The sequence below is a fragment of the Homo sapiens genome, chromosome 15, assembly GCF_000001405.40.
Source record: "Homo sapiens chromosome 15, GRCh38.p14 Primary Assembly".
NCBI classification, from domain to species: domain Eukaryota; kingdom Metazoa; phylum Chordata; class Mammalia; order Primates; family Hominidae; genus Homo; species Homo sapiens.
Genome location: NC_000015.10, coordinates 28,979,278 through 29,002,982, shown reverse-complemented (window position 1 = coordinate 29,002,982; position 23,705 = coordinate 28,979,278). Strand labels below are relative to the sequence as shown.

At 47.9% G+C, this 23,705-nt stretch overlaps 1 protein-coding gene across 36 annotated transcripts in view, besides 2 other annotated features; it reads right to left on the bottom strand.

Moving 5' to 3' along the window:
- Positions 1-23,705, bottom strand: part of APBA2 (amyloid beta precursor protein binding family A member 2) — a 232,342-nt gene that overhangs the window by 115,333 nt on the left and 93,304 nt on the right. For 25 of the 36 annotated variants that reach the window (NM_001379685.1, NM_001353790.2, XM_047432424.1 and 22 more), the window contains one exon: positions 7,177-7,230. The gene's annotated coding sequence lies outside the window, so the exon portion shown is untranslated. Of the gene's footprint in view, positions 1-7,176; positions 7,231-7,342; positions 7,457-12,186; positions 12,566-23,705 lie in introns of those variants that run through there. The other 11 variants (XM_047432409.1, XM_047432420.1, XM_047432411.1 and 8 more) reach the window with 3 other exon arrangements.
- Positions 11,068-11,567: an enhancer, noted in NCBI's record as "H3K4me1 hESC enhancer chr15:29283619-29284118 (GRCh37/hg19 assembly coordinates)". NCBI's record gives its function as "activates a minimal SCP1, AML or CMV promoter by ChIP-STARR-seq in primed H9 embryonic stem cells {active_cell/tissue: H9 hESC(primed)}" and the evidence as "EXISTENCE:reporter gene assay evidence [ECO:0000049][PMID:30033119]".
- Positions 11,568-12,069: an enhancer, noted in NCBI's record as "H3K4me1 hESC enhancer chr15:29283117-29283618 (GRCh37/hg19 assembly coordinates)". NCBI's record gives its function as "activates a minimal SCP1, AML or CMV promoter by ChIP-STARR-seq in primed H9 embryonic stem cells {active_cell/tissue: H9 hESC(primed)}" and the evidence as "EXISTENCE:reporter gene assay evidence [ECO:0000049][PMID:30033119]".

The window sequence follows — 23,705 nt, the reverse complement described above, 5'->3', positions numbered from 1 at the left end:
TATATATACACGCTTGTTTGCCTGGAACGCCCGTCTTCCCCCTCTCTCGCAGAAATGTATATTCATCCTTCGAGATGAAAGATCAACCCTCACTCCCTCCTGGACAACCCACTGGACTGATGAGTCCGCCCTCCCCAGGGTGCACTCTTCGTCTCCCTTGACATTCACAGTATGCGGCCACCAAGACGCCACCCTTTCCTGCAGTGGCTGATTCTCGAACTGAAGGTCAGGGGCTCTCTTTCCAGCCTCGCATTAACCCATGCCAAACATGCCTGTCTGCCACCATTCTGTTTTTCAACATAATCACTTTTAGATGAACAATGAATACAAATCCAACAACGGACAAAACACAGTGTACCCCACACGTGAGGCTCAGGAGGTAACTGGTGGTCTCTCCCTGCAGCCCCCCACTCGCTGACCCCCCGAGACCAGCACATGGCAAATGACGTGGACTTTCTTGTAATGAGGGTTTCTTATGAGATGGTAACAGCCACCACTGCTAGGAGTCCTCCCACCATCCAGGGTGGCATGCCATCACCCTTTCCTCTGCAGATGTATGAACTGATTGAAGGAGATTAAGCGATTTGCCCAAGAAAGGAGATTAGTTCACAGCAGCCCTAGACTGTATGGAAATGCAATTCTTTGCAGTATGCTCTGCTGCGATACAGGAGACCCCTGCTATGACTCTGGAAGACTTAGAAAACGTCTCCATGACATGTACATTGCTCATCAATTCATCCAAGCACACCTTGTGGTATGAGAGTTAAATTAGCATGTCCGTATGTGCCTAGCAGCACACATGGTAAAAGTAAGTCTGGGAAATGACAGGTTAAAAGAAATTTAAATTGTTCCTTTTCTTGCAGGACTTCTGAAGGCCTTTTATATGGTGCTTTGGGAGTGTCCAAGACGGGCAGTACACACAGCACTTCCCAACCTAATGTGACCGGGGACTATTATATTCAAGAACATCCGCTGGGAATCCTCAGAATATAGTTTGAGAATGCCAGCTTGCACACTAATGTCATTAATTAGAATTGGACATAATTAATTAGAGCTGAATATCATTAATCAAAAGTTACATACAGAAATGGCTAACTTCTCTTTCATCACACTAATTATGTTGGGCTCACAGTTCCTCGTGCTACTTTCTTAACCCATTTTCCATCTTTTAAAAAAAAGGGTGTTGATGAATTTTTTTCTCTTCTAAAGTACAACTTAAAACAAAAAAGAACTGGGTGTCAGAGCAGGAGCTTCCAATTTGAAAGCACACACCAAGTCTGCAAGCAAATAGTAACAGCCAGCTCCTTGTCCTCTCTTTGCCTCTTCCAGGGAAGGAAACCAGCAAGATGGGAAAACTCACATGTGCTACACATCCCCTCTTCATTATGTGGTTCATTCTCACAATCTACCCGCCCCCAACTCATGAGTCTCCACTTTGCAGATGGGAAGGTGAGCTTCTGAACATTTCTAAAGTCTAGAGGCAGTGGCTCATGCCTGTAATCCCAGCACTGCGGGAGGCCCACGTGGGAGGACCACTTGAGGCCAGGAGTTCGAGACCAGTCTGAACAATATGGTGAAATGCCCTCTCTACAAAAGATTTTAAAATTAGCTGGGCATGGTGGCACTCACCTGTAGTCCTAGCTACTCAGGGGGCTGAGGTGGGAAGATTGCTTGAGCCCAGTTCAAGGCTGCAGTGAGTTATGATCATGCCACTGCACTCCAGCCTGGGTGACAGAGTGAGACCCTGTCTCAAAAAAAATAAATAAATAAAAATAAAAATAAGAAACTAGAGCTATGTGATGACTACACACTTCTTGAGCATCCACTGTACATGAGGCACTGGGCTGGGCACTGGAGGATATGGGACAAGCAGGCCTGCAAATCCACAGAGACAGAAGCCAGGCAGGAGGGCTGTGGACTCAGATGTCCACCTAAGGTCCCAAAAAGTGAAGCCCATGAGCCTCGTCTGTGAAGATAAAGAGAAGCACCTGAGAGAGGAATCAGCCACACAGGCAGGGCCAGAAGGAGCCTCCCATGTGAAGGCAGCAGTTCAAGAGGCAGAGCCAGGTCAATGTGCAAAGCCTGGCTCATTCAGAAATCCTACTCATTTCACACAGGGAATGATGGCTTACACTTGTAATCCTAGCATTCTAGGGGCCAAGGAGTTCAAGACCAGCCTGGTCAACATGGCAAAATCCCACCTCTATAAAAACAATACATAAAAATAAGCTGGGTGTGGTGGCACATGCCTGTAGTCCCTGCTACTCAGGAGGCCAAGGAGGGAGGGTTGATTGAGCCCTGGAGGTCAGGGTTGCAGTGCGCCATGATCAGACCACTGCACTCCAGCCTGGGCAATAGAGCAAGACCCTGTCTCTAAATAAATCAATAAATCCCACCCATTTCAATGAAGAGACAAACAGAAGCACCTGTACAAGGGTGAGGCCAGGTAGTCAGCCAAGGTGGAGGATGAACCAGCAAGACGGGAGCAAGACGGCTGCATCAGAGGGACCCACAGCACAGAACACTGGGGTCCGTGTGCCTACATCCAGGGGTTTACCACAACTTCTTTTCTCCTCAACTTTGCAAATACATAGAAGTATAGAAAACAATGTAGCAAACCTCCATTCAGGCTTAACCATCGCTGTCAGTCCCATCCCCTCAAAGTCCCCCTTCTCAGGATCACTATCATTCACTATGCAGAACAAACTCTGATATCTTCTGTTCTAATCTGGTTCATATTTTTAGAAAACGCTGGTTGTGACCCACTTGTGATGGTTAATTTTATGTATCAACCTGACTGGGCCACAAGGTGCCCATGCGTCTGGTTAAACACTGTTTCTGGATAGTCTGTGAGGTGTTTCTGGAAGCGGTTACCATTGGAATTGGCAGACTGAGTAAAGCAGACGGCCCTCCTCAGTGTAGGTGGGCATCGTCCACTCCAGTGAGGACCTGCATAGAACAAAACAGCAGAGGAGGGTTGAATTCACTCTCTGCCTGACTGCTTGACTGGGACATTGGTCTTCTCTGCCCTCCATGCTGCTGGTTCTCAGGCCTTTCGGCCTGGACTGGAATCTGCACCAGTTCTCTGCTTTCCAGGCCTTTGCACTACAATACTGGCTTCCCTGGGTCTCCAGCTTGCAGATGGCAGATTGTGAGACTTCCCAGATGCCATATCATGCAAGCCAATACCTTATATCAATTGACCAATCAATCGATTGATCGATACATAAACTCTAAGATAAACTGATCCTATTGGTTCTGTTTTTGAGAGAACTGACTAATACAACACTGAATCCCTTTCATGAGCAGAATTGCTGGGTCATGGGGGATCCACATTTCAACCTTACTAGATAACACCTAATTGTTCTCTAAAGGGGTTTACTAACTTGCCCTTGATAAACAGGACATGAAGGCCCCCTTGCTTCACACTCTGGGCAACCCTTCGATTATCAGACTTTCTAATTTGCCAACATCTCATGGTCTCCCAGGCAGTTCCCAGATTAGGAGCAAGGCAGAGTTCATTTGTCTATTTGACATTTTCATTTTTTCTTCTTCATAGTATTTGCTCATTTTTCAATTCTATTGTCTTTTTAAAATTAATTTGAAAGAGTTCTTGATACAAACAGAATACAAATCTCTCACAGTAAATTCATCATGAATATTTATTCCAGCCTGTAGTTCTCTTAAAGAAGTTGCTAATACTGATGTTTGATTAATCCATCTTTTCTTTTATGATGTGTGTATGTTTCCCACCTCAAGAGCAGATAGAAAAAATCTTCTATGTATTTTAACATTTTTGTCTTTACATTTTGGCCTTTTTTTTTTTCTTTTTTTTTGAGATGGAGTCTCATTCTGTCACCCAGGCTGGAGTGCAGTGGCATGATCTCGCTCACTGCAACCTCCGCCCCCCAGGTTCAAGCAATTCTCCTGCCTCAGCCTCCCGAGTAGCTGGGATTATAGATGTCCGCCACCACACCCAGCTAATTTTTTATATTTTTAGTAGAGATGGGGTTTTGCCATGTTGGCCAGGCTCGTCTCGAACTCCCGACCTCAGGTGATCTGCCCACCTCGGCCTCCCAAAATGCTGGGATTACAGGTGTGAACCACCGTGCCCGGCATAGGCCTTTAATTCTATGGCCGTTTACTGGTACATGTGCTGTGAGGTAGGGATCTCACTTTATCTTTTCTCTTTTCCTATGTGGCCAACCAGCTGTCCTGCATCACATCCCACCTGGTCCATAACACACGTCTGCCACCTCCTGGCTTCCTATACATATGAGCACTTGCTCCTAGCCTTGCTACCCTGTCCCAGCCATTGCCGTGTCTCTCCCTGCACAAATGTCACACAGTCTTCATCATCCTGGCTCTCCATCAGGAACCTCACTGCTTGGGGGTCTCATGGCCTCCTCCCTTAGTGCTCTGGCTTTGTGTTTTCTCTTCATGTCTCATAGCTTGGAATTTCCATGCCTTTCTTTGGATCTTAGGTTTTAAAGAACACTTTGGGCTAGGTTTTACACAGCATTTATATGCATCCATACGGGGGTACATGCTAGTATCACATCAGCCCGTCATTTTCAGGACGTGATGTCTTCTAACTTAATATATGTTCTGAGACTTGCCGTGATTTAAATACAGCTTATTAATCTTTTCTGTGTTCCTTCAGGATAATCGCTGATTTTATATATTTCATTATGCACACATTTTATAGATCGAGGGCCTATAGGACGGTTATCATAGGATATAGTGAGGCCTAGAATTTAATTCTCAAAAAAAAAAAAAAAAGAAAAAGAAGAATAAGAAAAGAGCCTCAAACTTTTCCTGTAAGTGGAAGCACATTCACAAATTATCCTATGAAAAGACATCAGGCACATCACAGGGATTAGTATTCTGAAGCTACAGAATGATTCCATTCGCAGCAGAAAAATAAATAAACCCCGGCCCTTTCTTCTCTTTACAGATCTCCTCACAGAGACTCATTCTGGCATAATTGGCATTTAAAAATATCCATCTCCTTGCCGCCTTTCTCTCTGAGAAGGAATATGCTTTTCTGCTGGGAAGCTGCAGAGAATTGTGATGAGTATATTCACTTACATGATAGGCCTATTACACTGCAGATGGGTGAGAGCAATTGGGAAGAGAGCCCAGCACCTTCTCTATTGCAATTGATTTTGATCGTCTAATAGTATTTCAGGATACATAAAAATTCCAGTAGGTCTTTTCTAGACTCAGAAGAAAAAAATACCTTATACCTTACAGGCATAAATAGAACCACCCTATGACTCTAACAGAATGTAATGACACCCCAGGTTCCATAAGGAAAACGTCAAGAAGCCAATTTCACCGTGGACAGTCCCTAGAGGGTGGATGGGCTGAGGCAGCTGCTTAACCCTGGGCTCCCAGAAGACTGGAATTTTATGGAATCATGAGCTGTGTCTCCATAAGTAACATCTCCCTTCATAAGCTGTCCTTACTGCTGGTGATAATCAAAATCTCCAGCATTTTCAGAGCTGAGAGTGGATGATGTATCTAATGTCATTACGGCTGAAGTATGTTTACAACCCTAAGTAGAAAGTTAAATAGAGCAGAAAAGGCCTGTTGAGAGCACAAAAGTACATTCACAAACTTTGAAAACTGACAACTGAGAAAAATTTCAGTAAACACTCCAGCTTATGTCCAAACCCATTAATAATCACGCAGCTCTTCTACGTTTCACCCTGTTTCATGGACGAGGGCTGATTGTCCTGCATCTCTTAAATGCCTTGTGAATGTGCTCCCTCCACGGAGAGCCACCGTGTAATTCATCCAGGACATTTGTGACAAGAATGCTCCCCAACTGGATGCAAGGGAATTCCTGCCTCATCAGCAGAACAGGGATGGTGAGTGGTTACCACAATGTGGGAAAGATGCAGGGCAGAAAGTGAAATCAATAAAGCTGCCTTGCTTTACAAATAATGGCTTTTTGGGTGGCTTCAAATAGCCACACTTGTGGCCTTGTGCTGCCCTGGAAGAAAAACTGTGATTCTGAACCTGAGTCTTGACACTCCAGAATCCCGTCCTCACCCCTGCTGGTCTTCATCCGTCCCCTCACAACTGGCACAGAGATTCCACACTGGGACACACAAAGTGTTCCTTGCCTTGGTCAGGCAGGGGGGGTGTTCCCAAGGCCACCGCTGCCTTGCATGTAACACTCTGAACTGCCTCCCTGTCCAAGCTTACCACATGCTCCTTCCCAAGAATACATAAGAACCCCCAGAATCCATCAGAAGCTCAGGCCTGCTCTGGGCATCAGGACATGAAGACCATCCCTGGCTCTGCTTCTTTAACTCCAGCAACAATGCCCTCTGCTCCTCGTTCTCCAAACACGCCCCACCCTGTACACCAGTTTCCCTACAAAGCCGCTGCCTTGTGTGTCTCCAGCCACAGAAGAAGACAGCCAATTCATCTGCAGTGCAGAACCTGTCCCTTGCAAGTCTCCCCTGTGTGGAACACTCGGCTGGCACCAGGGCTCTGTTCCTACCAGTCCTACAGGGCAAGGGCAAGCCAGATGCTGACCATGGGGCAGTGTCTTCAGGGCTGCAATACTGCTCCATGCACAGGGAGGGAGGATGGACCACGCTCCATCCCTGGCAAGATGAGGAGGCCTCTTTTTATCAAAGTTAGATTTCTTCTGCTCAGCTTCCTGGTATCTCACAATGGCTGGTCCCTTCTCAAAGTAGACCAGCCACTGCCCACACTGGAGAGTGAAAGGTTCGAGTGCTACCTATTATTGCCGATATACATGTGTCTACTTTCGCTGTAACTAGGAACCTAGGTAGGGGTTACACAAATCAATGACTGAGTCTGGTGAGGACCATGGTTTACAGAAACACCAGTATAATGAGGAGAGGACAGATGGGGAGTGCGTGTCTTGCTGTGTTGTCATTGGGTGGTGGGCAGGTCGGTTCCGGGCAAGGTAAGTGCCAGAAGCGTCCCCAGTGTCCATCCACTCCTTGGCTGTGACTCAAACCCCAGCTTCAAACTCCCCAAGCTCACACACACAGGATCCCAGAAAACAAAGAGCCACGGCAGTTGCCAGCTCTGCCTGCAATGTAGCATTTTCCCTCCAGTGAAACGGTCCGCTCCCCACATGGCAAAAGCAAAACCTCATTCCATGCAACGCTGCCTTGTATTTCTTACCTAAAATGAGTGGTTTGGTAATGTCCCGAAAAATCTCCTGGTGATCAAATCTTTCTGGAATAAAGCAGAAGAAAACAGAGAAAATTACTTTCACTTCAGCAATGATACAGGTGCGCACATAGAGCTCCTTCAAGTATAAAAATGTAAATATGAGGCTTTGAATCACCTGTAAAAGTGGACAGATTATAATTCTAATGAGATAATCAGAAATTACCCTAAACAAATAATTAAAATGTTTCTTTAGCCATTCATCGCATAATTATTGCCTTAAGAACAATGTGTTGGGCAAATAAAGAGATGGCTTATGTACCATTCTGAAAGGAGAGACTCTCTGCATTTTAATGAGGCTCCTCAAAGCCCTCATGAATATGTATTTTCCCACAACAAAGCTTGACCCCACGGGTTTGCAGAGCTGGTGCTTCACGACACTTTCAGACTGCGGAGGGTGTGCATATGGGGGTGGGCGGGGAGAGGACTGCGATGAAAGTGAAGAGAGGAAGGAGGACCACCTCTCCTTTCCAATGCCCAGGGTCTCAGCCCACCTTCTCCTGGGCAAGATGGTTTCATGAAAAGAATGAGAAAGAGGCCACCAGGTCTCAGACTTCCCTGAATAGAGGAAGCTCTGCACAGGAAGGCTGAAGAGGAAGCTACTGCCAGCAGGCTCGGGGGTTTCAAGGCCAGGCCCTTGGGTTGGATCAGGAATTCAGGGCAAGGGCATTAGAAGGCTACGGGCAGGAAGCTGGGGTGGAACAGGAGGAGGGGTGTTCAATTGTCTGCAACATCACATCTGAATTCTGCCTCTCCCTCCATGTTGGCTACAGACAAAGTTACAAAGGGCTTTCTGTGTTCCTTTCAAAAAGGATAGTAATACAGCCTCCTCCCGGGGGCATCAGCTGTTGAGCCGGGCCAGGCTGCGAGCCCTTCACGAATGGCTGCGCTGCTGGACAGGGCACCTGCAATCTGGTCCTGGGGTCTGCAGTCGTAGGGAAGAGCCCCATTCACTGGGGAAGGAAACAGGACACAGGCAACACAGTGGCTTCGACTTCATCACAAAGGTTTAGTCTACTCAGCGTCTTCACTTCTCTAAGAAAGCGGCCAGTTGCTCTCACTTCCTAGGTAGACACCCCTAGCAGAGGGTTATAATTACGAAATTTCCTCCACCCAAAATGGCCCAGGGAAGATACTTCTGGTCCCCATGTAAAGGAGATGACCCAACGTCTCTGAGGAGGCTAAAGATGTTTCCATGTTGAACAAGCTACCCGTTAAGGGAGCTGCAGAGCCGTAACCTGCTTGCCTCTGCTCAGGGGAAACTGGCTGTTTGCACCGTTGTTCCATTTCTTTCCCAGGCTATGGTGCTTCTGTGGCTTTTCACGGCCTGTTCTGTGAAGCAACATGGTGCTTCACAGATCCTGGCCCTTTGCAAGGAGGCCTCTTTATCACACCCAAAGTGAGCACCACACAAAAAGCATGTCAATCACACACACGCTTTCCGCAGTGGAGTCAGCATGGGCTGCTTGCTTCCTGTGTGAACGTCAGAAAATCCCTTCACACCATCTCTGTCAGTTTCATCGTGTATAAAACTGGCCAATAACTACTTCAAAGGTGGCTGGGAAGGTGAATTGCAAGGGAACCTCTAGAATGTTGCCTGGAATCACATTAGCATCAAATAGTATTCCCTTCTTCACTCCTAAGCTCGCCATCTGCGGTCCTCCAAAAATAAGTAATTTCTGGGTGAGTTCATGAACTAAAGGTTAGTCCAGCAGCAAGAATCCTCCACTGGGAGTCCAGCAATGCGGCCTCAGTTCCTCACTCTGTTACAGGTTGGCTCTGTGACCCCAAGTGGATCAGTGAGAAAGTCAGGCCTGCCAGCCCCTGTCCTCTCCAGGCACCCTAAACTCCGGCTCTGGGCAGCTGTCACTTGACCAAGCCCTGCAGTCCAGCTTTTCCCACTTGCTCCTGGCCCAGAAGCGCCTCAGGAAACCCGGAGCCTGTCTCAGGACTGTTTCCCAGCCCTAGGAGACCTGCCCATCGCCCACCGCCTCCTTCCCAGAGTCTGCGAGTCTCCAGAAAGCCCAGAGCTCATCCATGTGCATCCCCCAGAAGCCCCACAGGCTTCACACTGACTTCCGACAAAGGCACAGAATCATCACACCGCCCAGGAGCAATAGCAGCACTGCACCTTATGTAAGGCCTTTCCATAAGAGGAAGCAGGCCCATGTCTTCACTCCATTTAGAACGGGTTTTGAGTGTCTATTTATAGGCATCACACACCCAGCCTTTGCGGAGGGTGGAGGAATCAGGCCTCTGGGCCCCTGTCCACCACCCTCATTTGCATTCTTTTCATGTTTCTTTTCTCTCATTTCCCAGCAGCATTTTCGCTCAAAAGCCAGGTCACCTACCACTTGGACCCAGCACCACTTTTCATTTTCTGCAGAGAAAAATATTCATTTTCGTTTCCATGCAGGAGTGTCCTGTCCTTGCCCTCTCCAGGGCCCCTGGCTAGCATTCACTAAAGCACGGCTGTGTGATTCGAGTGACCTATGTCTCCTGGACAGAGGGCTCCCCTGAAAGTCATGCCCAGCAAGGTCACGAGAGCCGGGAAGTCCCTGGGGGCAGCTGACTCTGAGTCGTAAGTGAGCCAGGCATATTTGGGGGGCGGGCTCCATCCCAGCAGGCAGAAGGAACACAGAGGATCAGACATGGCTTGGAAACCCTAGGCTTTTCCCACTGCCTGGCCATTCCTGCATCTGCCAAGCACATCACTCCATCCTCTTCCTGCCCCTCCAGGGGCAGTGAGGACCAGGCCACTTCCCCAGTCCCCCTCGGCTGTTTGTGATCAGACAGAAAGGCTGGGACCTGCTCTTTTCTCACCATTTTTGGAACAATTAAATCCTTCTCAATCTTCAGGCCGTAAATTAAGTACACAGGTCTCCCCATGATATCAAAACACTCTGCTCTCCAAGTGTAGCCATTCACAGGTCTTTATTTTTGTTTGGAGGATTGGGAGCTGGTTTATTCTGCAGCCCTGCAGCCCAGAGGGACACACAAATACAAGGCCAAAGAGTCTCAGGGGCTCCCTTCTTCTCCAGGGTGCAGGGCCTTCCTGAGCCCCCAGCCCTGGGAGCCAGTCCAGAAGGAGAGGCAGGCCTTGCCTAGACTAGCCCAGAATCCACAGCAGAACTCAGCCACAGAGAACACGTCCAGTACACAGCCTCAGCTGCCTGACTTCAAACACCACGCACGAGGTTTGCTTCTCTCATGAATATTTTGCTGAGGCTGTCGGCATTTAGTTTCAGGACTAATTAATTTTCTCACAGGATACCACTTCAACTGCCATCATAGGCTCTGTATTATTCTACGTGCAAATTTCTGGCAGTAAATTGGACTTGTGATCTAACCAAGCCTTTGAAATGCCATGCTTCCAGGGACTCTGGAATGAGCAGAAATGCTAAATATTCCTTAAAGAAGACGATTCATACATTTCCTGATTACCTTTGATTATTATGTCACAGGAGTTGGTGAGGGGGTCCAAGATCCAGAAGCGATCCTCAGGGACCCAAGGTGACCCAAATGGCTGGGGAGGGAGCCCGAGACAGGAAGCCGCTTAGGCTAAGAGAAACTTGACGGAACCCCAATAGGGCAGCTCATGTGAGCGTCCCCTCCAAAGCAGGGGACACCAGCCCTGGAGCCAGAAAGGCACATGAGTGGAAGAATGGGTGAAGGAACCCATCTCCCTAAGCATTTTCTTAGCAAAGCTAAGGCAACACTCACAACATCACAGACTCCCAGACCTGGAAGCTGTCCCGGGAAGGCACAATCACACTCCTTCCTCTAGCTGGCCCCAGAGCTATGGCTGCATTTCCCAGAGTGAAATGGGCAACGCTGCACTTGCTAAGGGGCTGGCACTCGGCACACAGGTTTGGGAAACTCTGGTGCACTGTGCCTGGGTTGTAGAGCAAGTGGAATCTGGTGAACAATAATAACCCGAAGGCAGTGACATACTTGTTGACAGGAGGCTCTGGCCACACTGAGCAGAGGCCCTGGGATGGGTTGGAAGGGGTCTGTGCTGAGCACCATGGTCAGCAGGATGGGGGAGGCATCAGGGTGCATCAAAGACAGAGCGTCGCCCCAGTGCCAGCTCGACCTGGCTCCTCCTGGTACCAGCCTAATGGCTGCAGCCCATACTGAAAGGCAGGTATCCCCCAGACTGATCAGCGCCATCTCATGAGGGAAAGCTTGTAATGGGGGTTCACACTCACATGGCCTTCGTGGGCTGGCTGGGCTGCCAGTGAACTCACCTGCAAGGGGCGGCCTCACAGTGGGGCCGGGCAGCTGGCAGAGCTCAACACCTGGCACAAGGTGAGCTCCGGCACAAGGTGAGCTCCGGCACAAGGACGCCTCCTGCGGCCCGGCCCTGTAGCTCAGCCAAGCTGCCGCAAGAGCAAGAGGGATGCAGTGAGATGGCGGTGTCCCCACAGCTGTGGCTGGAATCCCAGAACACCCAGGATGGGACTGGGGACATGGGGGATGGATGCGCCCCCAGACCAGGAGAGACGTTTTTACTGTGGGGCTTAGGGAGTTGTCTGTTGCTTCCTGATGGGACACACAGAGATGGTGCTGAGACAGGCAGAGGAGGGCCCTTGGGGTGGATACCAAAGTGCTCTTTACAAGTAAAATGTTTAAATTCTGAATAACTGAGTCCCTAGGCTGGCTGCAATGTAAAGGACTCCAATGCCATAACTCTTATTTATAAACACGAGCATGTATTATTTTTCTCCTGGGCAAGAAGCTGAGCCTTTAGAATAGAAAGCTCAAACCTCAAGACTCTCATTTGTGCAAATGTTTTGAGAACAAACTGGATTAAAAGTTAAGTCTTCAAGAGTCTAACTTCCAGAAACAATTGTTTTGTTTGGGAAGGTGGCCTGTAAACACGGCATTAAAATTACTTAGTAATAATGTACAAATTGCTATCATGAAAATGGTCACAGAGCTCTGTTCTTGGAAACTTACCTTGAAGTCTAGTACTGACGGGCCACATGTGATGAGTAACATTCTGCCCCCATGTCCTCACTTTTTATTCCAGATTTGAATTGGGAGACTCTTCATGGGTGATTAGTTCACCCACTGGGGACCAATTCTTTCAAGGAGACCACAGGGCTCACAAAGCCAAAGGCAGAGTTGGGAGTGCAGATATAGAGTATCTCAGCCTGTTTCCAGACTCACAGATGTTATCTAAAACCAAACTGGCTTTTAGAGCTCAGAAATTTGCCCTCAGGACAAATGTTCAATATATCTGACTTTATCGCTTTTTACACATTTGCTTTTATGTAAAGTTATCTGAGGCTCACTTAAATAAACCCAGGAGCTCCTTGCAGTGGGGCTGAGCTGACTTGTTCTTTTTTTTTTTTTTTTTTAAGACGGAGTTTCCGTTGCCCAGGCTGGAGTGCAGCTCACTGCAACCTCTCCCACCCCGGGTTCAAGCAATTCTCCCGCCTCAGCCTCCCGAGTAGCTGGGATTACAGGCATATGCCACCACAACAGGTTAATTTTTGTATTTTTAGTAAAGACGCAGTTTCGCCACGTTGGCCAGGCTGGTCTTGAACTCCTGACCTCAGGTGATCCACCCGCCTCAGCCTCCCAAAGTGCCCACCGCGCCCAGCGGAGCTAACTTCTTCTGTGTAGGGTTGACACTAAACGTGCCCTCTTCCCCCTGGCCTGTAATCTTCAGTAAGTCCGTCCTTGTGCAGCCCACAGCATCAGGTAGACAGGAACACAGTTCCCCGCGCCCTTCTCAGCAGGGCTCTGACACGGCTCTCCAGTGATTCTCGATACTAAACTGACCTTGTTTTCTGCAATTCCTTCCTGGCTTTGAGAAATCAGGGAACAGTGTGACACTGAGGTATTAAGAACTGGAACTTGGTGCCAAGACAGCCCACGTCCCAGGATGGACCCTGATGCCCACTGCAGGCCAGGATGAAGGGGAAGAGAAGGTCTGCAGGCAGCTTAGCCACGTCTACGTCTGACCCCAGGGAGTGCGGAGACAAGCAGAGGGTGTACACAGCCCGCCAAGGCCGCCTCTGCTGGCTTGCCTCCTCGTCATTGTTCTCTCCTAAGCAAATGAGGCTTCTATTTTTGCTGTGAGGAGCCTGATGCCTTCCAATTCCCAGGCACCCCCTGGAGCGGGGATGGGATTTCGTTTTCCGTTCAGGCAGCTCAGGGATGGAAGCAGGGCCACCCAGGAGACCGGGAGCCAGAGTGAAGCAGCATCTGCCAATCTTCTCAGACACATCTGAGCTCCAGCTCTGGCCATGGTGACGCCTGTGCATACAGCCCCGTGTGGCCACACAGGGCCCAGCACACTAGGTTGCATTAGTCTATCTTGTGCTTACTATGACAGGCACTAACTGATTCACAGATACGAACCTGCGCATCCTCCCAGGCCCACCGTGGGGAGCCATCATCCCATTTTGCAGATGAGGACACTGAGGCATACACAGACTAAGCCTAAGGCCACACAGGAAGTGTTGAAGCTGGGATTTAACCCTGGCAATGTGGCCCCAGAATCCACACTCTTAGCTTCTACATTATGTTAGAAGGAAGAAAAGAAAAAAGATATTTATGGTACATAAACTCAACAACGGATCAGATTGATCAATAAGAAAACAGAAAAAAAGGTGCAAAAGATATGGCCAGTCATTCACAGAATACCAAATATATGAAAAAATATATATGTGAAAATAGATACATGGAAAGATGTTAGCCTCACTGGCACGCAGGGAAATGCAAATTAATACCTCATGTAGACAGCACTTTCACGCATTAGACAAAAATGTAAAATGTCTGACAACACCAAGTGCTGTCAAGAAAAAGGAGAAGAGGAAACTCATACGCTGTCAGTGGGACCACTCATGAGGACACCCACACACTTTGGAATAAAATTTAGCTGTTTCTAGTACGTTTGAAGATTACTGTACTCTCTCCCATAGCAATTCCAATCCTTGCTAAATATACTGACAAATCCAGCTCACGTTCACAGAGAGACACATACCTGAGTACTCAAGACAACCTTGTTTGTAGCAGCAAGTCACAGGAACCCAACTAAGCATCCATCAATGGAGAACGACAAATAGTCTTATGTTTGTACAATGCAATACCACACAGCAGTGAAAATGCATGAAATACAGCCACCTGTTTTCACATGGATGAATCTCACAAACATAATGTTAAGCAAAAAAGGCACACTGGATGGGCGCGGTGGCTCAGGCCTGCAATCCTAGCATTTTGGGAGGCCAAGGTAGGCGGATCACTTGAGGCCAGGAGTTCGAGACCAGCCTGGCCAACATGGCGAAACCTCGTCTCTACCAAAAATACAAAAATTAGCTGTGTGCAGTGGCGGGCGCCTGTAATCCCAGCTACTCGGGAAGCTGAGGTAGGAGAATCGCTTGAACCCAGGAGGTGGAGCTTGCCGTGAGCCGAGATCACGCCACTGCACTCCAGCCTGGGCAACAGAGCAAGACTCCATCTCAAAAAAAAAAAAAGGCACACTACAGAAAAAAATACAAGGTGATATCATTTACATAACGCTTACAGACAAAATGCAGAACTAACAGGGATAGAAATACTTATACATGTACTAGGCCATAAACAAGGATCAAACTTCAACAGTAGTTACCTCTGTGTGAAAGACAAGATGCAACTGGGGAGGGGCTCTAGCTGCAATGGTGTTATGATGCTTTAAAATACATCCACAGGCTGGGCATGGTGGCTCATGCCTGTAATCCCAGCACTTTGGGAGGCTGAGGCGGGCAGACCACTTGAGGTCAGGAATTCGAGACCAGCCTGGCCAACATAGTGAAACCCTGCCTTATTAAAAATACCCAAATTAGCCAGGTGTGGTGGTGTGTGCCTGTAAATTCCAGCTACTTGGGAGGCTGAGGCAGAAGAATCACTTGAACCTGGCAGGCGGAGGTTGCGGTGAGCTGAGATCACATCACTGCACTCCAGCCTGGGTGACAGAGTGGTGAGACTCCATCTCAAAAAAAAAAAAAAAAGAATATATATATATATATATATATATCTCTCTCCACATATTCTTTGACACTCCCTTCAAAGAGTGGAACCTAATTCCTTTCTCTTTGAGTGTGGCCTGAATTTAGTGACTTGCTTCTAGTGAACAGACATAAGCAGAAATGACAGTGTATGACTAATGAGACCAGGTCATAAAAGGCACAGCGGCTTCCTCTCTACTCTCTCTATACTCTCTCTTGAATCACTGAGGCTGGGGGAATCCGCCTGCCATGTTGTGAGGACACTCAAGCAGCTCTGTGGAAAGGTCTATATGGCAAAGAACTGAGCCCTCTTGCCAGCCAACAGCCAGGTGAAGTCGATCTTGGACGTGGATCCTCCTGCCCCAGTCAAGCCTTCAGGTGCCCCAGCTCACATCTTTCCCCTCCACTAGAACCACCCAGCTCAGCTGCTTCCATATTCCTGGCCCACAGACTATGTGTGAGATAATAAATGTTTACTGTTTTATACCACTAAGTGTTGGCATAATATGTTACACAGAAATAGGTAACCAATATGGTAGTATTCTCTACCTTTAGCAGCTTGTGGATACCTAGCTGTTCATCACATTATTCTTGTTACATTTTTGTATGCTGCTACAGACTGAATGTTTGTGCCTGCCCTTCTCCAAATTCACATGTTAAAACCTAATGCCCAAAGTGATGCTATTAGACAGTGGGCCTTTGGGAGGTGATTAATGGGATTTGTGCCTTTGTAAAAGAGACTCCAGAGAACTCTCCTGAGCCTTCCACCAAGTGAGGATGTAGTGAGAAGATGGCCTTCTATGAACCAGGAAGCCCTCACCAGACAGCAAATCTGTTGGCGCCTTGATCTTAGACTTCCCACATCCAGAACTGTGAGAAATAAATGTCTGTTGTTTGTAAACCACCTAGTTTATGGTATTTTGTTACAGTAACCTAAACAGACTAAAATATATGCCAATTGTTTCCAAAGACTAACATAAAAATAAGAAGGGGACCAGGAGCAGTAGCTCATGCCTGTAATCCGAACACTCTGGGAGGCCAAGGCAGGCAGATCACCTGAGGTCAGGAGTTCAAGACCAGCCTGGCCAACATGGTGAAACCCCGTCTCTACTAAAAATACAAAAATTAGCCAGGCGTGGTGGCACACACCTGTAATCCCAGCTACTAGGGAGGCAGAGGTGACAGTGAGCCAAGATCATACCACTGCACTTCAGCTTGGACAACAGAGGGAAACTCTCAAAAAAAATTTTTTTAATAATTAAAATTTTAAAAAGAAAAGCAGAGTGGCCAACAGTAGTGACCTGCTAAGTACAGGCTGAGAAGTGGCGCTCCTTCTTACGGAACAGGCTGAGTGTTCCTACGAAACAGGCATCCACTGCAACACTCAAGAGTGCTGGATGACAGGAAGTGACCAGCCAGCGCTGGCACAGGAAACGCTGTCTGTCACATTAACCAACTAGTGAGTCCTACACCTGAATGGGCTCAGCACTTTAGTTAATGTTTGCAGATGTTGGGCAGTGACAAGCAAGGACGCAGAGTGGGCACATACTTTGTCCTTTTGGGTGATCGGGGAATGGCTTCTCTCCTCCAGGAGGCAGGAAACTTTGAGAAGCCTCCTCTATGGGCTGGAGAGCCGCCGGGAATTGTAACTGGGCAGGGGAAGAGGAGGCAGAAGGATTTACTGCATTACGATATTAATTTTAATTAAGGAGACTTTTTTAGGCCAAACAAGCATATGCTTGTGCCTGAGAGGCAGGGAGGGCACCACATCCCCCAGGAGGATCTTGCTGGAATGGAGGTGTCTGGCAAGCCCAGGGCAGCCACCTGCTCCGCCGCTCCTCCCAGGTCCTGAAGCCATCAGGAAGGACTGTTCAGAAGCCAGGGTCTGGCCACCAACACATCTGTCCTTCTTTGTCTTCTATCTCTCTCCTTCCTTCAGATTCCAGAAAGCAGAAGTGCGTTTCATAGAACGAACCAGCTGAGCTGGTCAGACAGAGTCAACCGGATCCAGTTAAAGCAGCAAGAACTCGTTACATCCAGGAGACCCCATCTGTACCAGTCTCGAAGATCCGCTGTGGAACTACTGAAGACCACTTATTTTAAATCCTTTCTAAGAGCAGAAATCCAAAATCTCAACATGTGCTATTTCCCTCAATTTACTCATTCCAAGAAAAACGAAGTCCAAAATCCATTTTAATTGAAACAACCCCTTTTCTGGCCATGATCTGACAACAGACATCACCGTAACACCTAATACACACATCCCACGCATGCTTTCCTTTTTGAAAAACAGTCAGCTGAGGTGGCAGAAGCACTTAGGCCTCCTTTCAGTGCTCTCTGACCTCGGCTTGTTAGGAAAATGACCACGAAAATCTGGACCCGATGTTGTTTGTTCTCATTATTCACTGCCCTCTGGCTGGTAGACAAAAAGTGCAAAGCATGAAGGGGCGTGTGGGGTGCTGGAGCCTGATCTGAAAGCATTGTGTGCCCTGGCCCAGAACATGCTGAGCCCGTGCCCCTGCAGTGCAGCCACAGAGCACAGCAGCCGTGCTCAGCCTCAGGGCCTCCCAGAACCCCACCTCCTCCTCTTCTCCCAGCCAGTCAGAGCCTGGCTCAGACAGACACAAGCCTGAAGGGTGTGATGTCACCAAACCTTCCTGCCACAGCCACCCAAGCTCAGCCTCAGGATCCAATGTGTACAGACTGGACAGAGGTCAGCTCAACCACTGAGGCAGAGGGAGCACCAATCCAAGCCGCTCTGCATCCCAGGCAGCTCCCCCAACCTCCAGAGACGGCAGTGGTTGGCGGAGGGGGAGAGAGGGAGAGAGAGAGAGAGAGAGAGAGAGCAGCTCCCCCCAACCCCCAGAGATGGCAGTGGGGGGAGAGAGAGAGAGAGAGAGAGAGATAGAGCAGCTCCCCCAACCTCCAGAGATGGCAGTGGGAGGGGGGAGAGAGAGCGAGCAGCTCCCCCAAACTCCAGAGATGGCAGTGGGGTGGGGGGGGAGAGAGATAGAGAGACAGAGCAGCTCTCCCAACCCCCAGAGATGGCAGTGGAGGGAGAGATAGGGATAGACAGAGAGAGATATACAGCAGCTCCCCCAGCACCCAGAGATGGCAGTGGGGGACACCCAGAGAGAGACAGAGAGACCCTGCCTCTCTTCTAATGAGTGGTAACCACAGCGCGCCCCTCCACTGGTCTGAGTTGGAAACGGGACCAGGAAGGATCCTGGCACTTGAGAGGAAACCACAGCAGAGAGACTGAGTCAGGGGGCTGGAAGCTGATACTGGCTCAGAACTGGGTGGCAGTATCAGCCACCCAGTGGCTAAGCCTAGGTTCTGTGACACTAAGCCTAGGTTCTCCCAGCTGTGAAATGGGGATAATTATAGTCCCCTATAAGCCTATGTCATGGGGTTGCTACGTGGCATAAATGAGGTGCCGGCAGGTACTCAGTGGGAAACACACACCGGCTCTTGTTCTAAAGCCCTCAGAGCCCTGCCTCCGCAGCTCCCCCTGCCCTCACTCCCCCAGCATGGCCCGGCACTCAGAGTCCCGAATAATAACGCCTCGAGAGCTTGCTTTCAACCCCACTGTGAGCCCCTCCAGGGCAGGACCCTACACCCAGACTAGCCTCCCCGATCCCAGAATCCCCCACCTTGCCACCTGTGCACCCCACAGCAGTGTAACTGATCAACCGAGGGCACGCCTCACACCAAAGTGTGAGTGTCTGCACGGCCTCTGGATACCTTCAGAGAGGACACTCATTAGCCCAGAGAAAGCCAGGTTCCTGGGGCAGGGCAGGGCAGGGCAGGGCAGAGGTCTTCTAGCACCACTTATACCTCAGCAGGACTCAAGCCCAGGGGTGGGGACCACAGAGTGGCCTGGGTGCTTGGGATCACAAATCCCATTAATCTACTCCTAAAACCCTTCCCGCAGATCCCATGGCCTAACCTTCCCCAGAGGTGGGTTTCTCGGGAGAAGGCAATGTTCTGTCTTGGGCTACTAAGGAGCGTACTCCACCCAGTGGGGGAAAGGGCCCATCTGCCCACAGAGCTGACCCCAGGCCAGGTCTCTCCAACCCACTCTGACAGTGACTTGGTGGATCCTCCTACACCGCGAGGTGGGTGGGTGGGGCCCATGAGCCGACAGCGCTCCTGGAGGCCACCTTGTTCACTACATTACATGCCTTGGGAGCTTCAGCATGCCACAACCAGCCTCGAAGAGAAAAGTCAAATTTGAATTTGGGGTTTTTCCGTATGCTGGGAGAGACTCTAGAAAATAATGTATTGGCAAATGCTGAAAAGAAACACAGAATTGTCACGCATGGGCCCAAAACTGAGTATCAGAACAGGACTCTGGTGTCCTCCTTGTCAAAACCAAAGCCAATTACTCTCCCGCCACACACACACCACAAATACATATCTTTTCGTCTGGAAAATGAAGGCAAGGAAATGAATTTCATTTTCAAAATCAGGTTCTACTCAGACAAGGACCACCTTACATGACGCCTCCCCAACGTGACGGCTGACTGAAGCACCCAGGGAGACGGCGGCTGGGCTGCAGGTGTTGAGGGAAATGTTTACACCTTCCCAACCTCAGAATTCATGCAGGTGACCCAAGCCCACTGAACAAGGAAGACAGTGATGCCTCTCCAGGGTCTGCACCAGGGGATCCCCCAGCTAACTCCATCAGTGGGGACATGAGTGGGCAATAGGCAGTGACTTCCTATTTCACCAAGTTACCTTCCACCCTGACACACTTGTGGCCTCCGTAGGTGCCAGGACCTCAACCCAAATGCAAGCCTACCTTTGGTTTTAATTATGCATTTATTTCATTTCTACATAGACATCACTACAACCTGGGGTCATCATGGAAGCTGGCCCGTTATTGCGATCTCTAATTCGCCTTCTATAGAGCAGGCTGGACACCAGCCCTGTAGGCAGCCCTGCCAGGTCCCCCAAGCTTGGGAAGAACACTTGCGCTGAAGACATCATCAACGTGTCCTTGAATTGGTCATGCTGGTCCAATGCCTCTTCCTAGTCTTGCTTTGTCATGACAAATTGCTGCTTTATTTTCTTCAGGTCCATCCTTATCAACCTATTTTCCAATGACTAGACTTTAAATAGGACATGAGGACTTCTGACAATCGAATATAAATCCTCCATTGCCAAAGCAGAAATATATATCATCAGAATATCTTCCCTGAACCAGCCTTAGGATGAAGCTGATAAAATACCAGGGAGGACTGAGGGAAAGAAACTGGACCTGTGCTAACAAGGTCAAGCTGCTAGATCAAACCTTGCCTGCAACCAGGTATTCTGGACTTTCCAATGACATAAGAAAAAGTTTATGTCACCATAGGATGGGTACTTAGTTACATCAAATGTCTTAATGGATAAGGAAACAGCCCAGTGAGATAACCTGACTTTATTAGCCCAAAGGGCAACAAAATTAAAGCCTAGTGACACTGCACTAAGTCCTGCCTTGTGTCAATATGTTGGGCTGAGTTCAACATGGCTTAAAATAAACACAAAATCCTTAACTCTTTATAAGTGTGGGGGGCGGGGAAGGCCCACTTTTCCTTATTTTTTGACTAATTTCAACCTTTATTTTACATTCAGGGAGTCCACGTGCAGGTTTGTTACCTGGGTATATTGTGTGATGCTAAGCTTTGGGGTATGATTAATCCCGTCATCCAGGTAACAAGCACAGTACCCAACAGTTAGTTTTCAACCCTTGCCCCGCTGTCACCCTCTGCCCTCTAGTAGTCCTTGGTGTCTACTGTTGCCATCTTTATGAGTACCTAATGTTTGACTCCCACTTATAAGTGAGAACATGTGGTATTCGGTTTTCTGTTTCTGTGTTAATTTGCTTAGGATAATGGCCTCCAGCTGCATCTATGTTGCTGTAAAGGACATGACTTTGTTCTTTTTTATGGCTCCATAGTATTCCATGGTGTATATGTACCATAATTTCTTTATCTAGTCCACTGCTGATGGGCACCTAGACTGATTATGTGTCTTTGCCCTTGTGAATACCACAGTGATGAACATACAAGTGCATGTGTCTTTTTGGTAGAGTGATTTATTTTCTTTTGGAAATATACTGAGGAATGGGATTGCTGGGTCAAATGTAGTTCTGTTTTAAGTCCTTTGAGAAATCTCCAAACTGCTTTCCAAGGTGGCTGAATAATTTACATTCCTACCAATAGTGTGTAAGAGTTCCCTTTTCCTCAGAGCCTTGCCAGCAACTGTTATTTTTTTTGCTTTTGAAAAATAGCCATTCTGACTGATGTGAGATGGTATCTCACTGTGGTACTGATTTGCATTCTTCTGATGATTAGTGATGTTGAGCATTTTTTCATATGCTTGTTGGCTTCTTACCTGTTTTCTTTTGAGAAGTGTCTGTTCATGTCCTTTGCCCAATTTTTAACGAGGTTATTTGGTTCTTGCTTGTTCAATTGTTTAAGCTCCTTGTAGAGTTGTGATATTAGACTTTTGTTGGATGCATAGTTTGTATTTTCTCCCATTCTGTAGGTTGTCTGTTTACTCTTTTGCTGTGCAGAAGCTCTTTAGTTAATTAGGTTCCACTTGTTGATTTTTGTTTTTGTTGCAATTGCTTTTGAGGACTTAGTCATAAATTCTTTCCCAAGGCCAATATCCAGAATGATGTTTCTCTAGGTTTTCTTCTAGGATTCTCATAGGTTGAATCTTTAATCCAACTGAGTTGATTTTTTACATGGTAAAAGGTAGGGATCCAGTTTCATTCTTCTGCATAAGGCTAGCCAGCTATCCCAGCACCATTTACTGAATAGGGAGTCCTCTCCCCATGGCTTATTTTTGGCAGCTTTGTCAAAGGGCAGATGGTTGTAGGTGTGTGGCTTTATTTCTGGGTTCTCTACTCGGTTCCACTGCTCTGTGTGTCTGCTTCTGTATCAGTCCCATGCTGTTTTGGTTACTGCAGCCTCGTAGTATAGTTTGAAGTTTGGTAATTGGTGCCTCTGGCTTTTCTTTTTGCTCAGATTGCTTTGGCTATCTGGCTCTGTTTTGGTTCCATATTAATTTTGGAATAGTTTTTTCTAGCTCTGTGAAAAATGGCCTTGGCAGTTTGATAGGAAGAGCACTGAATCTGTCAATTGCTTTGGGCAGTATGGTCATTTTAACAATATTGATTCTTTCAATCCATGAGGATAGAATGTTTTTCCATTTGTTTGTGTCATCTCTGATTTCTTTCACCTCCTTGGTTCGCTGTAGTCCTAAGTATTTTTGTGTGTGGCGATTGTAAATGGGATTGTGTTCCTGATTTGGCTCTCAGCTTGAACATTATTGGTGTAGAGAAATGCTACTGACTTTTCTACATTGATGTTGTATCTTGAAACTTTATTGAAGTTGTTTATCAGTTACAGGAGCCTTTTGGCAAAGTCTTTAGGGTTTTCTATGTATAGAATCATAACATCAGTGAAGACAGACAGTTTGGCTTCTTTTCTTATTTGGATGCCTTTTATTTCTTTGTTGCCTGATTGCTCTGGCTCAGGAAGGTTCACTTTTTCAAATCTTACATGACCAAACTCTAGCAGAAATCAGATTAAATTCAATCAGATCTTTTCTGGTTCCCCCAAAACAAGCAGGACAAACCTACACGGCCAGTGCTGAATCTACCAAGTGTTTAGCTAAAAGGCACAATTTACATTGAACATCTCTGCACTTCCCTGTCTCTGAAAGACAGCTTTGACCCCGGCTCACATTACTGTGCTTACGGAAAATCTCCATGCAGCTTTCAAAAATAAATTTTCTTTTAACTAGCCACATAAGTAAGCCCTGCTCCACCAATCAGCCGAGGATGGTTGTGTTGGCTTGCTTTTCTCTTTTTTTAAAATAACTGATGCAAAGACCCAAAGAAGGATCAGAAAAATCATCTCTTAACTCCACTGTCTGTCTCATTTTGAACCTGAGCATGAGGACCCAGAGGTAAGTGACCTGCTCAGAGTCTCAGCCTAGGCCAAACCTACGGGGTCAGAGAGCCCTAGGTCCATCTCACCCCCAACTTGGCTGCCCTGCCAAGAGACTGCACGCTCCGCCCAGAAGGCCATCTGCTCACACGGGGCCGGGGGCACTCTGCAAGGCCAGAAAGGGGCCAGGGGAGGACCTGCGCTGGACATAGCACCCTGCTGACACAAATGGGGAGGAACTGACAGGAAGAAACTCTGGACTCCACCTCAAGAGAAGGATTCCAAACAGCTTCACCACTCTGCACCCCCAGGGAAGCCTCATTGTCCAAAACTGACAGGGTCTTAGAAGCTCTGCCCCAGACAGGCAGGCAGCAGAGCCTTTTGCCGGATGAATCAAATGACGTTAGGAGGACCACACACATTGGCTCAAAACACAACAGAGGCCCGAAGCAAATTCCAGCAGACACCATTTGTTCTCACATGACAGGAGTGGACCGGGACCCGGGAGGACCATGTGATGCTGAGGAATACGGCT